This window comes from Homo sapiens, chromosome 3 (assembly GCF_000001405.40).
Source record: "Homo sapiens chromosome 3, GRCh38.p14 Primary Assembly".
NCBI classification, from domain to species: Eukaryota; Metazoa; Chordata; class Mammalia; order Primates; family Hominidae; genus Homo; species Homo sapiens.
In genome coordinates, this window is record NC_000003.12 from 48469576 (window position 1) to 48485292 (window position 15717).

Sequence of the window (15717 nt, forward strand, 5' to 3'; positions counted from 1 at the left end):
GCAAAGAGAATTCCAGTCAGGACCCTCCTCCATCTCCCCAGGTCTTGAGAGCCAGGCTTGCCACCCATCCCTCCAGCTTAGCCAAAGCAGGGCCTGGTCAGCTTCCCTTACCACCCCAGGGGGTCACAGTGGGGCAGGGTGGGCACGCTTACGACGTGGTCGGCGGCACGTCTTGTAAAGGCAGCAGCAGGAGCAGGTGAAGCAGATGATGATAGTGACGACAGACAGCACAAAGATGGTCAGGCCAACGGCCAAGGTCGCTCCGAACCTGCCAAAGAGCTAGACGTGACCCGGGGCACCTCGCCCCTCCCCAGACCAGCATCCACACCTTCCCAAGGCATGCCCCTCTTGCCAGAAGGGGTCTGGGCAATACAGTTATAGCTACTTCCTTGTCGGGTGGCCTGCACCTGTTTCAATCTGTTTCCTCTTGTGTAAACTGGGGTATATGTGAGTCCCTGTAACTGTCTCTCCCTGGGTCTCCCCCGCTTGTCCCACCCTCAGAGGCATGGGAGGAAGCTCTTCAAGTCCCATGCCACACACATACATCTATCTTGTCCACCTCACAACCAACTGATCAGCAGATGGGTATAGGGCACATGCCACAAGCCAGGCACTGTGATTTGAGTCAAAAAACTTAACAGTGGGCAAGACAGCCAGCCCTGGCCTCTGGGAGCCCACAGTCCAGTGTAGGAGGCAGACAGTGAAGATAACATGGCTCACAAAGCACAGGGTGAAGACTGAGAGAAGCCCCAGGAGGGCAGAGGCCAGTGTGGCCAGAACAGGAGGCCCCCATTGTTCCCCTGCACTCCACAACAGCCCCAGGGCAGGGAGGCTGGCCCCTGAGTGATAAGGACAGTTGCCTCTGCCTGCAAGCTTGCTGTATGCCAAGCACCGTGCCAGGGGTCACACACACCCCTGGGTCCCCCACCTCTGACCTGCATGGCCACTTCCACAGGTGAGAGGGCCAAGAGCCAAGGGGAGGACACAGAGGCCTGGAGGCAGGAGGCCAGAGGGCCTGCCCTTTGAGAAAGCAGGCCCTGGGCTGGGAAGCTCACCAAAATTGACTTCTAGGAGGGGGCAGTGGCTCATGCCTGCAATCTCAGCACTTTGGGAGGCCGAGGAGGGCGGATCACCTGAGGTGAGGTGTTCGAGACCAGCCTGGCCAACATGGTGAAACCCTGTCTCTACTAAAAATACAAAAATTAGTCGGGCACGGTGGCGGGTGCCTGTAATCCCAGCTACTTGGGAGGCTGAGGCAGGAGAATCGCTTGAACCCGAGAGGCAGAGGTTGCATTCAGCCAAGATCACGCCATTGCACTCCAGCCTGGGGACAGGAGCAAAACTCTGTCTCAAAAATGAAAGAAAAAAAAAAAAACCTGACTTCCAAATGCAGACAGAGCCCCTTACTAGCCACCCTGCCGTGTTTGCAGAGGCCAAGCTTCATTCTTTTTCTTTTTTAATTTATTTTTTGAGACAGGGTCTCACTCTGTTGCCCAGGCTGGAGTGCAGTGATATGATCACAGTTCACTGCAGCCTCCACCTCCCAGGCTCAAGTGATTCTCCCACCTCAGCCTCCCCAGTAGCTGGAACCACAGGCATGCACTACCACATTTATTTTTGCAGAGACAGGGGTCTCACTATGTTACCTAACTGGTTTCCAACTCCTGGCCTCAAGCAATCTTCCCTCCTCGGCCTCTCAAAGTGCTGAGATTAAAACTGTCTCGTGGCCAGGGTGCGGTGGCTCATGCCTGTAATCCCAGCACTTTGGGAGGCCGAGATGGGCGGATCACAAGGTTAGCAGTTTGAGACCAGCTTGGTCAACATGGTGAAACCCCGTCTCTACTAAAAATTAGCCGGTAGTCCCAACTACTCAGGAGGCTGAGGCAGGAGAATCGCTTGAACCCAGGAGGTGGAGGTTGTAGTGAGCCAAGATCGCACCACTGCACTCCAGCCTGGGGGACAGAGTGAGACTCTGTCTCAAAAAAAAAAAAAAAAAAAAAAAAGTCAGCCTTACATTTTGTACTGGATGATAAAAGATTTTAAAAAATAAAAAACGGTTGGGTGCGGTGGCTCACACCTGTAATCCCAGTACTTTGGGAGGCCGAGGCAGGTGGATCACCTGAGGTCTGGAATTCGAGAAAGTATAAAAAAAATTAGCCGGACATGATGGTGGGTGCTTGCAATCCCAGCTACTTGGGAGGCTAAGGCAGGAGAATCTCTTGAACCCAAGGAGGCAGAGATTGCAGTGAGCCAAGATCACACCATTGCACTCCAGCCTAGGCAACAAAAGCGAAACTCCATCTCAAAAAAGTAAATAAATAAAAAATAAAAATAAAAAACTGGCCAGGCGCGGTGGCAACACTTCTAGAGGCCGAAGTGGGCGGATCGCTTGAGGTCAGGAGTTCTAGACTACCCTGGCTAACATGGTAAAACCCTGTCTCTACTAAAAATACAAAAATTAGCAGGGCGTAGTGGCGCAAAACTGTAGTCCCAGCTACTCAGGAGGCTGAGGCAGGAGAATCGCTTGAACCAAGGAGGGAGGTTGCAGTGAGCTAAGATTGTGCCACTGCACTCCAGCCTGAGCAACAGTGGGAGACTCCGTCTCAAAAAATTAAAAAATAAAATAAATAGGCCAGGCGCAGTGGTTCATGCCTGTAATCCTAACACTTTGGGAGGCCGAGGCAGGCGGATCGCCTGAGGTCAGGAATTTGAGACCAGCCTGGGCAACATAGTGAAACCCCATCTCTACTAAAATACAAAAAAAAAAAGAATTAGCCGGGCGTGGTGGCACGTGCCTGTGGTCCCAGCTACTGGGGAGGCTGAGGCAGAAGAATCACGTGAACCCATGAGGCGGAGGTTGCAGTGAGCAGAGATCGCGCCACTGCACTCCTGCCTGGGTGACAGAGCGAGACTCTGTCTCCAAAAAAATAAAAAATAATAAGTTTTTTTTAAAAGGTGTCAGCCACCATGCCCAACCCAAGCTTTATTCCAACAAAAGGCAAATGCTTGGTAACTGCATCAAACACATCCAAAAACTCTAGGAGCTTTGTTAGCTGTAGGGCATCCCCCAGCAGCCTCTGCCCAACAGAGGCCCAAGGAGGGTGTGGGTCCCACCCTACCCCGCCCTGGGACTGCACAACTTCAGCAGGGCCCCACAGCACAGCCCAGGGACAGAGCTAAAGACTCCAGGCTCAAAAGCACCCCTCAGGACTCTCAAAGCAGGAGCCATCAGCCCCAGGCCGTCCAGGACAAGGCCCTAAAACAGGACCAGCAGACTACAGGTGTCTTCCGGCCCAACCAGAGGCAGGAATGGAGAAACGCACACACATTCACACGCCATCAATGACATGCGACCGCAAGGCCGTTATCATCCCTCCAGAGATCTCTCAGTGTTTGTCTCTCAAACACACACGCAGCATGGCGCCCAAGCTCACCCCATGTTAGCCTCTGCCTTCACCCAGAGGCCTCCTGTACCCCTGGGCTTTCCCCTCTTCCCATCGTGGGCCACTCAGTTTCAATTTCCTCCCCTTTTGGAGAAAAAGAAAGCAAATCTCCTCCAGATGACGTCAGCCACAGGAAGCACAGACGCGAAGCCCCGTTCCACCCTCTTAAAGACACAGGATGGCCCCGCCCAGCAGCCGGCTAGCAGCCAAGGAGCCAAGGGGCGGGGGCCGGGGAGGAGGGGAAGCAGAGGTGCCCCATTTGCCTCCCAGAGCTGCCTCCCTGAGCCAAGCCTACAGGGCCTGACCTCAGAATGCAGCCTGGCCACTAGGGGGTCTAAGAGCCACCCCAGCCTCAGTGGGCCCCAACCACACTCTAGCTCAGCAGCACCCCCACCCCCACTTCCACCTAACCCACCGGCCCTGTTCCACCAGCCTCCAGGAGGAGCTTCTGCATCCATCTAGGCCCAGAGGGCGACCCTGGGGCCCTGGCTGACACACATGCAAGGAGCAAAGTCCAGCCTGTCCCTTTAGCTCCTCCTCTCCCACCAGCACTCTCTCCAATCTGTCTCCCCATGTTCTCCCGGCCACCCTACTGGGGCCACCATGCAAGGTCCATCATGTCACCACCTGCTCAAACGCCAGCTATGGCTCCTGTAGCTCTTGCGATTACAAAGGAATTTGCTTTATAATTACATGTTAAACTGAGTGTGTCTGTGCTTTCCTGTGTATGTATTATAGTTGACAATAAAAGAAGAAAAGAGGCCATGTGCAGTGGCTCACACCTGCAATCCCAGCACTTTGGGAGGCCGAGGCTTTTGGGAAGCTTGAGCCCAGGAGTTCGAGACCAGCCTGGGCAACATGGCAAAACTCCTTCTTTACCTACCAAAAAATACAAAAATTAGCCAGGCTTGGTGGCACGCACCTGTAATCCCAGCTACTCAGGAGGCTTTCTCCAGCCTGGGAGACTGAGTGAGAATCTGTCTCAAAAAAAAAAAAAAAAAGAAGAGGAAGAAAAGAAAAATCTGGGATTTGTCTCACCAGACAGTGAAATTTACAATAAAGGAAATTTTATTATTATTATTTTTTTGAGGCAGGGTCTCACTCTGTTGCCCAGGCTGGAGTGCAGTGGCACGATCACAGCTCACTGCAGCCTCAAACTCCCAGGCTCAAGTGATCCTCCCACCTCAGTCCCCCAAGTAGCTGGAACCACAGGCATGCACCACCACACTCGGCTATTTTTTTATTTTTTGTAGAGACAGGGTCTCACTGTGTTGCCCAGGCTAATTTTTAATCTTTAATTAAAATTTTATTTTTTAATTTAATTTTTTTTTTTTTGAGACAGAGTCTTTCTCTGTCACCCAGGCTGGAGTGCAATGGTGCAATCTCAGCCCACTGCAGCCTCCGCCTCCCCGGGTTCAAGTGATTCTCGTGCCTCAGCCTCCCGAGAAGCTGGGACTACAGGTGCGTGCCACCACACCTGGCTAATTTGTGTATTTTTAGTAGAGATGGGGTTTCACCACGTTGGCCAGGCTGGTCTCGAACTCCCGACCTCAGGTGATCTGCCCACCTTGGCCTCCCAAAGTGCTGGGATTACAGGCCTGAGCCACCGTGCCTGGCCTTTAATTAAAATTTTAAATAAAATAAAACTCCCTATTAGGCCCACAAAGCCATGTGTGGTCTGGAACTGCCCCCTCTCCTTCAACCTCTGTGCTGAGTCCCATCCCCCTCCTTTCAGCTTTGAAAGCACCATGCTGTGTCCTGCTCAAGGCCTTTGCACATGCAGATACTCCTGCCAGCTCAGCCCTTTCCTCCTTTCATCTCAGCCACACCTAACTCATTCCTGCTCACCCCTCAGGCCTCAGGTCACTTCCCCAGGAGCACCCTCCCCACCATGCAGAAGAGGCCAGGCCCCTCAGCACATGCCCGCACGGAATTAAATTCCTTTCTACTTCAGTTCATAAACACACACTCTGTTGTGTGTGAGCATTTGATCAACTACGTCTTGCCCCTGCTTTGTACCATTATCATCCAATACAGCTTTCGGCCACCACTATATTTCCAGTGCCTAGCATATAGTGAGTGCTCAATAAAAAAAAAATTTTTGCATAATGTTGTGAATTAATCAATAAATATTGGACAGGTAAATGAATAAATTCACTCAGAGACCCCACCCAGGCACGGTGACCTTAGAAAACCAAGCAACATTCAAGGGGTGGTTGCAGAGCGGGGCTAGGGTACAAGGCCACACGTGGCTACAGTACCAATGGAACTACGCCTCCGAGAGGAAGGAATGGGGTCTCCCAAGGCTGGGGCCAAGCTCAAAAGGCAGAGTCGGCCCAAGCAGGAGGGAGCAGAAGGCAGAGGGGCAGCCACCCCGGCAGGGAGTTTGGGCAGGATTGTAGGGTCTGGGGAGAACTCGGCGGCCTCCAAGAAATGGAAGACTCCAAACCTTAGACAGTGAACAGGCTGGCTCTGGACCTGGGATACCCGCACCCCCACCCTGGTGTCAGCAAGGCCCCAGACAGGCTTGAGGGCCTGAGAACCACAGAAAGGACGCTTTGAGGGCTGGGAGGTAGCACCGGGGCTGTGGCCACACCTCGCCTAATGGGCCTCTCTCCCTTTCCCCTGCACTGTGGCAGTGGAGTCACAGCAGAGGGTCAGTGGTGGCCTCCTTGGGGTCTGCAGCCAGAGCTTCTGCCATTCGGTACTTAGAAACCCAACAGTCTTGCCCGACAGTCCTGTGAGTGCAAGGAGCTGGGAAGAGGACATGACAGTAGGATCCAAAACAACCAGGAGACTATCTGGGGAGTGAATAAGGCAAGAATGGCTGGAGCCACTCACCATTAAACAGAGATTCACTTGCCAAAGTCTAGGGGGCAGAAGACCTGGGCCAACCCTGAGCCCACAAATAGGGCCACACTATAACCCCTGCCATGGGTGGCATCCTCCTGCGGCAGGGGTTCTGGGCCAGGCAGATGTGGGCCCATCTGGATCCAGGCTCCAGCCTGCTGCCTCATGCCTAGGGAACTCAAAAAGTAGCCCAGGTCGGGCACAGTGGCTCAGCCTGTAATCCCAGCATTTTGGGAGGCTGAGGCGGGCAGATCACAAGGTCAGGAGCTCGAGACCAGTCTGGCCAACATGGTGAAACCCCATCTCTACTAAAAATACAAAAATTAGCCGGGCATGGTGGCCGGCACCTGTAATCCCAGCTACTCAGGAAGCTGAGGCAGGAGAATTGCTTGAACCCAGGAGGCGGAGGTTGCAGTGAGCAGAGATTGTGCCACTGCACTCCAGCCTGGGCAACAGGAGAGAAACTCCATCTCAAAAAAAAAAAAAAAAAAAAGTAGCCCAGAGGGAGATAGCCAGAGGCAAGGGTCCCAAAATAAGGAGAGGAGGAGGGGTCAGTGGCAGAGAGTGGGGCAGAGCTGGGGTGGGGCTCCTGGCCTGGGGTCTTTCCCCTGCCTGGCTTCTCCTGAGCTCCTGGCCATGGCCTCGACAGCAGGGGCCAGGCCCTCAACATGGAGCCAACTCTCCAGTGGACAAACAGTGCCCTTGGCCAAGTAGGCAGCACATGGATGCCCAGCAGAGGATGTCTCCTTGGGACCCAGACAGGCAGCCACCTGAGAGAGTTCAAAAGAGAGGAGTCATTGATGACCCTGTCCCCCTCCCCTCCTCCCAGCACCCACTTCTTTGGCTCCTGCACCTTTATAAAGCAGGTCCTAGGCATGAGCTGGGGCTCAGAACAAAGCAGAGGACAAGAGATGACATGAGGCGCGGGAGGGGGAGCATCACTCCAGTCACCTGCTCTTCTCGATGCATGGGCAAAATAGCCTGGGGCAGGAGGCAGCAGGGCACGCCAAGCACACGGCACACGAGGCCCAGTGCTATGCACACCACGGCGGCAGCTGGGCTAACAGAACAGGTCCCACATGCACACCTTGGGGAGTCAGAGGTGCCTCTGAGCTGGCCCCAGTCACCTCCCTGCTGCCACAACCCCAGGAAGCCACTCCTCCTCCTATGCCCCTCTGGGAGCTTGTTCCGCACTGTCTCCTCCTTGTTGTCCCAGCTCAAATCTATAACATTGAGAAAAAAAAAAAAAAAAGAAACAGAACAACCCTTCACATGGATTCTCCAACTCCTTTTTTTTGTTGTTGCAACCTCTGCCTCCTGGGTTCAAGTGATTCTCCTGCCTCAGCCTACAGAGTAGCTGGAATTACAGGCACCCGCCAACACGCCCAGCTAATTTTTGTTATTTTTAGTAGAGACAGGGTTTCACCATGTTGGCCAGGCTGGTCTTGAACTCCTGGCCTCAGGTGATCTGTCCACCTCAGCCTCCCAAAGTGCTGGGATTATAAGCATTAGCCACCACGCCCGGCCTCCCTTTTAAAAACAAAAAACAAAAAACACGGGGTCGCCCAGGCTGGAGTGCAGGGATTATTCCCAGGCAGGATCATACCTCACTGTAGCCCTGAACTCCCGGCCTACAGCGATCCTCCTGCCTCAGCCTCCCAAGTAGCTGGGACTACAGAAGTGTGGCACTGTGCCCAGCTTCAATGCCTGTCTTACTCCTCATCCATTCACGGCTAAAACTCTCCAAGGAGTTGCCTGCGACCAGCATACAATTTCCAACTGCTCTTCAATCTGCTCCACTGCCTCGCTCTTGCCCAGGGTGCCATGGACTCCGTGGTGTGAAATCTCCATTCCACAGCGCACTTCACCACAAGCCTGCCCTCCTCCAGTGTCCAGCCCCTGCTCCTTCCCACTCCCTCCACACCCTGCCTTGTGGGAGCTGCTGAATGTAAGTCTCCATCCTCACCTCTTGCCACCAAGCTCTGGCTCTCTCTGGCTCTCTCTGGCCTCCAGCGCCTCTGGCCAGGAAGCCGCCTGAGGCCACCTCCTACAGAAACGACTTCCCACCTCCCACACCCACCCCATCTGCTCTTTCCATCTTCCACAGAGCAGCCAGTGTGGTCTTCCTAAAACTCCATTCGGTCCCCAGCGCTCCCAGAACCCTCTGTGATGCCCACTGTCCTCAGGACGAGGCCCACTCCTTGACTGCCTCCAGGCCCACACAGGCTGGGCATAGGCATCTCCCACGGGGCCATCTGAAAGCCCACAATCCTGGGCCTCAGGGCAGGACAGCCGCTCCTGGGCTCCTGGACGTGGAGGGGAAGGCCTGTAGAGATCTCAGGCTCCAACCAGCCCTGAGGTGTTGAGGAGGGGCACAGCTGCACTTCTTCCCCTCCTCCACGCACAGGAGCCCTGCCCTGATTCTGCTGTAGCCAGTGAGGCCCCACACCTGCCTGGGCCTACAGGATGGGATGGGGCAAAACAAGAACCCAAGCCCCCCACTCAGGCCCAGAGCCCAAGGTCTCTTCCTCCAAAGGGGAAACCCTGCCCTCCTGGGCAGACCTTTTCTTTAAGCGGCTTCTAGATCCACCAGGGAAGAGGGGAGACAGCAAGTGGAACAGACCCAGGCAGGAAAGCCCGCCCTAGTGGCTGCACACCCATTCCACCTCCAGGAAGATGTCACAACTCCTGTTACGGTGGCAATAACACAGGCCGGAGCCCAGCCAAGGGGACTGGGGTTTGGGGGCTGGGGTTGCTCCTTGGTTCCCTGAGAGGAGAGTCCTGACACAGTAACCATGACCCACAAAGCTTCACACAGGAACTGTGGCATCATTGGTTGTCCCAGGACCTCTCCCCACCGTTATCACCCCAATACCATGTGCTTGCCAGCACCACCATCACCCCATCACCATCACCATTGTCACCAATGCCCAATCACAATATACCCGCCCCCATCTACCATCATCGCATGCCCACTACAGCCCCTTCTCTGTCACTCCTGCCCCCATCGGGACCCATCAGTCATCTGCTGACTCAACCCAGCATCTAGGTCAATGTACCCCGGACCCCTGGCCCTTCAATTGTCAACCCCCGACCACAGTCACCCACGTCCCCACCACCCCAGCACACTAATGAAGACACCTTCACAGCATAAGGAGCAAGTGTCCTAGTGGTCAGATATGGTGACAGTTTCTTGGGCTCCACCCCAATGACCGAATCATCCCAGTCCCCCAGATGCACACTGGCCCCCCTGAGCCCTCTTGTCACCTTTGCCAGGAAGATGCACCCAGCCAGCAGGCTTTACTTACCCTGACATGGGGTCGTTGTAGCCAGGGCGAAACCTCAGCGCCGAGCCCAGCTGCTCCACCGGCTCTACACTGGCAGGCACGCTGCAAACAGGAAACCTTGTGATTAGCACAATGAAGCCCCACCGAGCGCCAGCACAAACACTACCTTAGGGCACCACAAAACGTGCACAGAAGCTACTATGAACCGGTGGCTTCAATGGCCTTCCAGAGGTGGACTCTGCCCACACCGGGATCTCATAGCACAAAGCCACACATCCTCTCAGGTGTCCACCAGACTGTCTCCAGGAGAGAACATATGTTAGGCCACAAAACAAGTCTCAGCAGATTTTAGAAGACAGATACCATACAAAGGATCTTCTCTGACCACAACAGGATGAAGTTACAAATCAGTAACCACATTGCCACAAAGTTTATTATAATTTTTTTTTGTTTTTGAGATGGAGTCTTCCTCTGTCACCTAGGCTGGAGTGCAGAGGCACGATCTTGGCTCACTGCAACCTCCGCCTCCCAGGTTCAAGCGATTCTCCTGCCTCACCCTCCTGGGTAGCTGGGATTACAGGCACCCGCCACCATGCGCAGCTAATTTTTGTATTTTTAGTAGAGACAGTGTTTCACCATATTGGCCAGGCTGGTCTCGAACTCCTGACCTCGTGATCTGCCCGCCTTGGCCTCCCAAAGTGCTGGGATTACAGGCGTTAGCCACCACACCTGGCCTACATTTCCACAAAGTTTTTTTTTTTTTTTTGAGACAGAGTCTTGCTCTCTCGCCCAGGCTGGAGTGCGGTGGCGCGATCTCGGCTCACTGCAAGCTCCGCCTCCCGGCTTCACACCGTTCTCCTGCCTCAGCCTCCCGAGTAGCTGGGTCTACAGGCGCCCACAACTACGCCCGGCTAATTTTTTGTATTTTTAGTAGAGACAAGGTTTCACCGTGTTAGCCAGGATGGTCTCGATCTCCTGACCTCGTGATCCACCTGCCTTGGCCTCCCAAAGTGCTGGGATTACAGGCGTGAGCCACCACGCCTGGCCTCCACAGAGTTTTTTTAAAAAGTACTAAAACAACAACAACAACAACAACAAAAAACTCCTACCTTGGGAAACTAAGAAGGTACAAAAAAAAAAAAGCAAAATAAAACCAAAACTCTTGATTTGTATTGTGTTAAATAAGAACTCATAAAGGATACTTACCTGGCAGGGGAGAAGATATCATGATCACGAAGAAGTAATAAAGGAAACTAACAAGTATGTAGAACTAAATGATGAAAATACATCAAAATTCGTGAAACACAGATAAAATAGTTCTTAGAGGGAGATTTGTATCTTTAATAGAATTTATCAAGAAATGGGGGGGCCGAGGAGGGTGGATCTCAAGGTCAGGAGTTTGAGACTAGCCTGTCCAGGATGGTGAAACCCCATCTCTACTAAAAATACAAAAATTAGCCGGGCTCAGTGGCATGCACCTGTAATCCCAGTTACTCGGGAGGCTGAGGCAGGAGAATCGCTTGAACCCAGGAGGCGGAGGTTGCAGTAAGCTCAGATCACGTCACTGCACTCAAGCCTAAGTGACAGAGCAAGACTCAAATGTCAAAAATAATAATAATTTATCAGAAAACAGGAATGGTTAAAAATAAATGATATGGGCCAGGGGAAGTGACTCATGCCTGTAATCCCAGTGCTTTGAGAGATCGAGGCAGGCAGATCAACTGAGGTCAGGAGTTCGAGACCAGCCTGGCCAATATGGTAAAACCCCGTCTCTATTAAAAATACAAAAATTAGCCAGGCGTGGTGGCGGGCACCTGTAATCCCAGCTACTCTGGAGTCTGAGGGAGGAGAATTGCTTCGACCCAGGTGGTGCAGGCGGCAGTGAGCCGAGATCACACCATTGCAATCCAGCCTGGGCGACAAGAGCGAGACTCCATCTTGAAAAATAATAAGAATAAATAAATAAATAAATAAATAAATAAGATGATATTAAACTCAAGATGAGCTGGGCGTGGTGGCTCACGCCTGTAATCCCAGCATTTTGGGAGGCCAAGGTGGGTGGATCATGAGGTCAGGAGTACAAGACCAGCCTGGCCAAGATGGTGAAACCCTGTCTCTACTAAAAATACAAAAAATTAGCTGGGTGTGGTGGCAGGCGCCTGTAATCCCAGCTACTCGGGAGGCTGAGGCAGAGAACTGCTTGAACCCGGGAGGTGGAGGTTGCAGTGAGCCAAGATCGTGCCACTGCACTCCAGCCTTGGCAATGGACCGAGACTCTGTCTCAAAAAAATAAAATAAAATAAAATAAAATAAAATAAACTCAAGATGATTTCTTTAAAAGTAATGGAAAATGTGGCCAGGTTGGTGGCTCACGCCTGTAATAACAGCACTTTGGGAGGCTGAGGAGGGCGGATCATGAGATCAGGAGTTCGAGACCAGCCTGGCCAACGTGGCGAAACCCCATCTCTACTAAAACTACAAAAATTAGCCTGGTGTGGTGGTGGCCGCCTGTAATCCGCTACTCGGGAGGCTGAGGCAGGAGAATTGTTTGAACCTGGGAGGTGGAGGTTGCTGTGAGCCAAGATCATGCCATTGCACTCCAGCCTGGGTGAAAAGAGCAAGACTGTCTCGGCCGGGTGCAGTGGCTCACGCCTATAATCCCAGCACTTTGGGAGGCCGAGGCGGGTGGATCACAAGGTCAGGAGATCGAGACCATCCTGGCTAACACAGTGAAACCCTGTCTCTACTAAAAATACAAAAAAAATTAGCCAGGCGTGGTGGCGGGCACCTGTAGTCACAGCTACTCGGGAGGCTGAGGCAGGAGAATGGTGTGAACCCGGGAGGCAGAGGTTGCAGTGAGCCGAGATCATGCCACTGCACTCCAGCCTGGGGGACAGAGTGAGACTCTGTCTCACAAAAAAGAAAAAAAAAAGACTCTGTCTCAAAAAAAAAAAAAAAAGTAATGGAAAACCCAAAAAACAAGGAAGAAATTAATAAAGGTAAGTGCAAAAATAAACCAGAATAGCCATAGAGAATAATAGAGAAGATTAGCAAACCAAAGCTAATAGACTTCTGACAAGACTAACCACGAAAAAGGAGGGCAGCCAAGTGCAATAGCACACACCTGTGGTCCCAGCTACTCAGGAGGCTTAGGTGGGAGGATCACTTGAGCCCAGGAGTTCCAGGCTGCAGTGAGCTGTGATCACGCCACTGCACTCCAGCCTGGGCGACAGACTGAGACCCTGTCTCGAAAACAATAAATAAATAAAATAACATAATAACATTATTTGGATTCCGATTTGGACAAACCATCTGTGAAAAGGCATTTTGGAAACTAGTGGAGGCAACTGAACACAGTATTTAAAGCTATCAGTGAATTACTGTTAATTGTGCCAAATATGATAGTGGTTATATTGCCCTTATATTGGAAGGGAAATAGTTATATTTGCCTTCAAGGACCTCATTTTTAGCAATGAAAACTCACTTTTTTTTTTTTGAGACAGAGTCTCGTCTCTTGTCGCCCAGGCTGGAGTGCAGTGGTGCAATCTCGGCTCACTGCAACCTCTGCCTCCCAGGTTCAAGCGATTCTCCTGCCTCAGCCTCCTGAGTAGCTGGGATTACAGGCATGTGCCACACACCCGGCTAATTTTTGTATTTTTAGTAGAGATGGGGTTTCACCATGTTAGTCAGGCTGGACTCGAACTCCTGACCTTGTGATCCACCCATCTTGGCCTCCCAAAATTCTAGGATTACAGGTGTGAGCCACCGTGCCCGGCCTTTTTCTCTTTGACACAGGGTCTCATCTGTCACCCAGGCTGGAATGCAGTGGTGTGATCACAGCTCACTGCAGCTATGACCTCCCGGGCTCAAGTGATCCTCCCACCTCGGCCTCCCAAGTAGCTGGGACTACAGGCACATGCCATCCCACCTAGCTAATTTTTTTTTTTTTTTTATTGATCATTCTTGGGTGTTTCTCGCAGAGGGGGATTTGGCAGAGTCATAGGACAATAGTGGAGGGAAGGTCAGCAGATAAACAAGTGAACAAAGGTCTCTAGTTTTCCTAGGCAGAGGACCCTGCGGCCTTCAGCAGTGTTTGTGTCCCTGGGTACTTGAGATTAGGGAGTGGTGATGACTCTTAAGGAGCATGCTGCCTTCAAGCATCTGTTTAACAAAGCACATCTTGCACCGCCCTTAATCCATTTAACCCTGAGTGGACACAGCACATGTTTCAGAGAGCACAGGGTTGGGGGTAAGGTCATAGATCAACAGGATCCCAAGGCAGAAGAATTTTTCTCAGTATAGAACAAAATGAAAGGTCTCCCATGTCTACTTCTTTCTACACAGACACAGCAACCATCTGATTTCTCAATCTTTTCCCCACCTTTCCCCCTTTTCTATCCCACAAAACCGCCATTGTCACCTTGGCCCGTTCTCAATGAGCTGTTCGGTACACCTCCCAGACGGGGTGGTGGCCGGGCAGAGGGGCTCCTCACTTCCCAGTAGGGGTGGCCGGGCAGAGGCGCCCCTCACCTCCCGGACGGGGCGGCTGGCCGGGTGGGGGGCTGACCCCCCCACCTCCCTCCCGGACGGGGCGGCTGGCCGGGCGGGGGGCTGACCCCACCACCTCCCTCCCGGACGGGGCGGCTGGCCGGGCGGGGGGCTGACCCCCCCACCTCCCTCCCGGACAGGGCGGCTGGCCGGGCGGGGGGCTGACCCCACCTAGCTAATTTTTTGAATTTTTTGTAGACATAAGGTCTCACTATATTGCCCAGGTTGGTCTGAAACTCCTGGACTCAAGTGATCCTCCTGCCTCAGCCTCCCAAAGTGCTGGGATTACAGGTGTGAGCCACTGCACCCAGCCAAATACTAATATTTAAGAAGAACTTTTTATGATGTCTGGGATTTGCTTTAAAATAATTCAGAAAAAGAAAAGTGGTGGGACATATATAGCACAATGGTGTCAGAGTATTGGTAACGGGAAGTGGGTGATGGATGCATTGAGTTATATTGTTCTCTCTGCTTTTGTACTTATTTGAAACTTTCCAAAATTAGATGTAAAACAAAATAAAATGTAAAAGCGTTATAAACAATTATACCCTAATACACTTGGAGGAAAACCAGTAAAGCTGAGGAGAAAATATTTTTTAAGAAATATGTGGGCTGGGTGCGGTGGCTCATGCCTGTAATCCCTACACTTTGGGAAGCCGAGGCAGGCGGATCACCTAAGATCAGGAGTTTGAGACCAGCCTGGCCAACATGGTGAAACCCTGTCTCTACTAAAAATACAAAAATTAGCGGGGCGTGGTGGCACCTGCCTGTAATTCCAGCTACTCAGGAGGCGGAGACAGGAGAATTGCTTGAACCCAGGAGGCGGAGGTTGCAGTGAGCTGAGATTGTGCTACTCCAGCCTGGGCGACAGAGCGAGACACTGTCTCAAAACCAAAAAATAAAGAAGGCCAGGCACAGTGGCTCATGCCTGTAATCCCAGCACTTTGGGAGGCCAAGGCAGGCAGATCACCTGAGGTCAGGAGTTTGAGACTGGCCTGGCCAAAATGGTGAAACCCCATCCCTACTAAAAATACAAAAAATTAGCCAGGCGTGGTGGCAGGTGCCTGTAGCCCCAGCTACTCAGGAGGCTGAGGCAGGAGAATCGCTTGAACCCAGAAGGCAGAGGTTGCAGTGAGCCGAGATGGCGCCACTGCACTCCAGCCTGGGCAATGAGAGCAAAACTCCATCTCAAAAAAAGAAATCTGAGGCCAGGTGCAATGGCTCGTGCCTACAGGCATGTAGTACTTTGGGAGGCCGAGGCTAGAGAATCGCTTGAGCACAGGAGTCAAAACCAGACTGAGCAACATGGTGAGACCCCTTCTCTACAAAAAATACAAAAGTTGGCTGGGCATGTGGTCCCAGCTACTCAACAGGCTGAGGCAGGAGGATCACTTGAGGGAGGTAGAGGCTGCAGTGAGCCGTGATCATGCCACTACACTTCAGCCTGGGGGACAGAGCAAGACTCAGTCTCAAAAAAACGAAAAGAAATAAAGAAAAGAAACCAGTGTGAGACCGGGCACGGTGGCTCACGCCTGTAATCCCAGCACTTTGGGAGGCCAAGGCGGGCGGATCACCTGAGGTCAGGAGTT

The 15717-nt window shown here is 52.4% G+C and overlaps 1 protein-coding gene across 7 annotated transcripts in view, besides 6 other annotated features; it reads right to left on the reverse strand.

The window, feature by feature from the left end:
* Positions 1-15717, reverse strand: part of SHISA5 (shisa family member 5) — a 36935-nt gene that overhangs the window by 1700 nt on the left and 19518 nt on the right. For 5 of the 7 annotated variants that reach the window (NM_001272066.2, NM_001272067.2, NM_001272065.3 and 2 more), the window contains 2 exons: positions 9602-9682; positions 153-268 (listed from right to left, as the gene is read on the reverse strand). In NM_001272066.2, coding sequence (NP_001258995.1) covers positions 153-268; positions 9602-9682 — 197 coding nt within the window. Of the gene's footprint in view, positions 1-152; positions 269-3434; positions 3584-9601; positions 9683-15717 lie in introns of those variants that run through there. The other 2 variants (NM_001272082.4, NM_001272083.4) reach the window with 1 other exon arrangement.
* Positions 346-495: an enhancer, noted in NCBI's record as "active region_19831". NCBI's record gives its function as "activates an Ori minimal core promoter by ATAC-STARR-seq in GM12878 lymphoblastoid cells {active_cell/tissue: GM12878}" and the evidence as "EXISTENCE:reporter gene assay evidence [ECO:0000049][PMID:35858748]".
* Positions 2975-3834: an enhancer, noted in NCBI's record as "NANOG-H3K27ac-H3K4me1 hESC enhancer chr3:48513959-48514818 (GRCh37/hg19 assembly coordinates)". NCBI's record gives its function as "activates a minimal SCP1, AML or CMV promoter by ChIP-STARR-seq in naive H9 embryonic stem cells {active_cell/tissue: H9 hESC(naive)}" and the evidence as "EXISTENCE:reporter gene assay evidence [ECO:0000049][PMID:30033119]".
* Positions 3107-3726: an enhancer, noted in NCBI's record as "active region_19832". NCBI's record gives its function as "activates an Ori minimal core promoter by ATAC-STARR-seq in GM12878 lymphoblastoid cells {active_cell/tissue: GM12878}" and the evidence as "EXISTENCE:reporter gene assay evidence [ECO:0000049][PMID:35858748]".
* Positions 3867-3976: an enhancer, noted in NCBI's record as "active region_19833". NCBI's record gives its function as "activates an Ori minimal core promoter by ATAC-STARR-seq in GM12878 lymphoblastoid cells {active_cell/tissue: GM12878}" and the evidence as "EXISTENCE:reporter gene assay evidence [ECO:0000049][PMID:35858748]".
* Positions 4696-5555: an enhancer, noted in NCBI's record as "OCT4-NANOG-H3K27ac-H3K4me1 hESC enhancer chr3:48515680-48516539 (GRCh37/hg19 assembly coordinates)". NCBI's record gives its function as "activates a minimal SCP1, AML or CMV promoter by ChIP-STARR-seq in naive H9 embryonic stem cells {active_cell/tissue: H9 hESC(naive)}" and the evidence as "EXISTENCE:reporter gene assay evidence [ECO:0000049][PMID:30033119]".
* Positions 9897-9946: an enhancer, noted in NCBI's record as "active region_19834". NCBI's record gives its function as "activates an Ori minimal core promoter by ATAC-STARR-seq in GM12878 lymphoblastoid cells {active_cell/tissue: GM12878}" and the evidence as "EXISTENCE:reporter gene assay evidence [ECO:0000049][PMID:35858748]".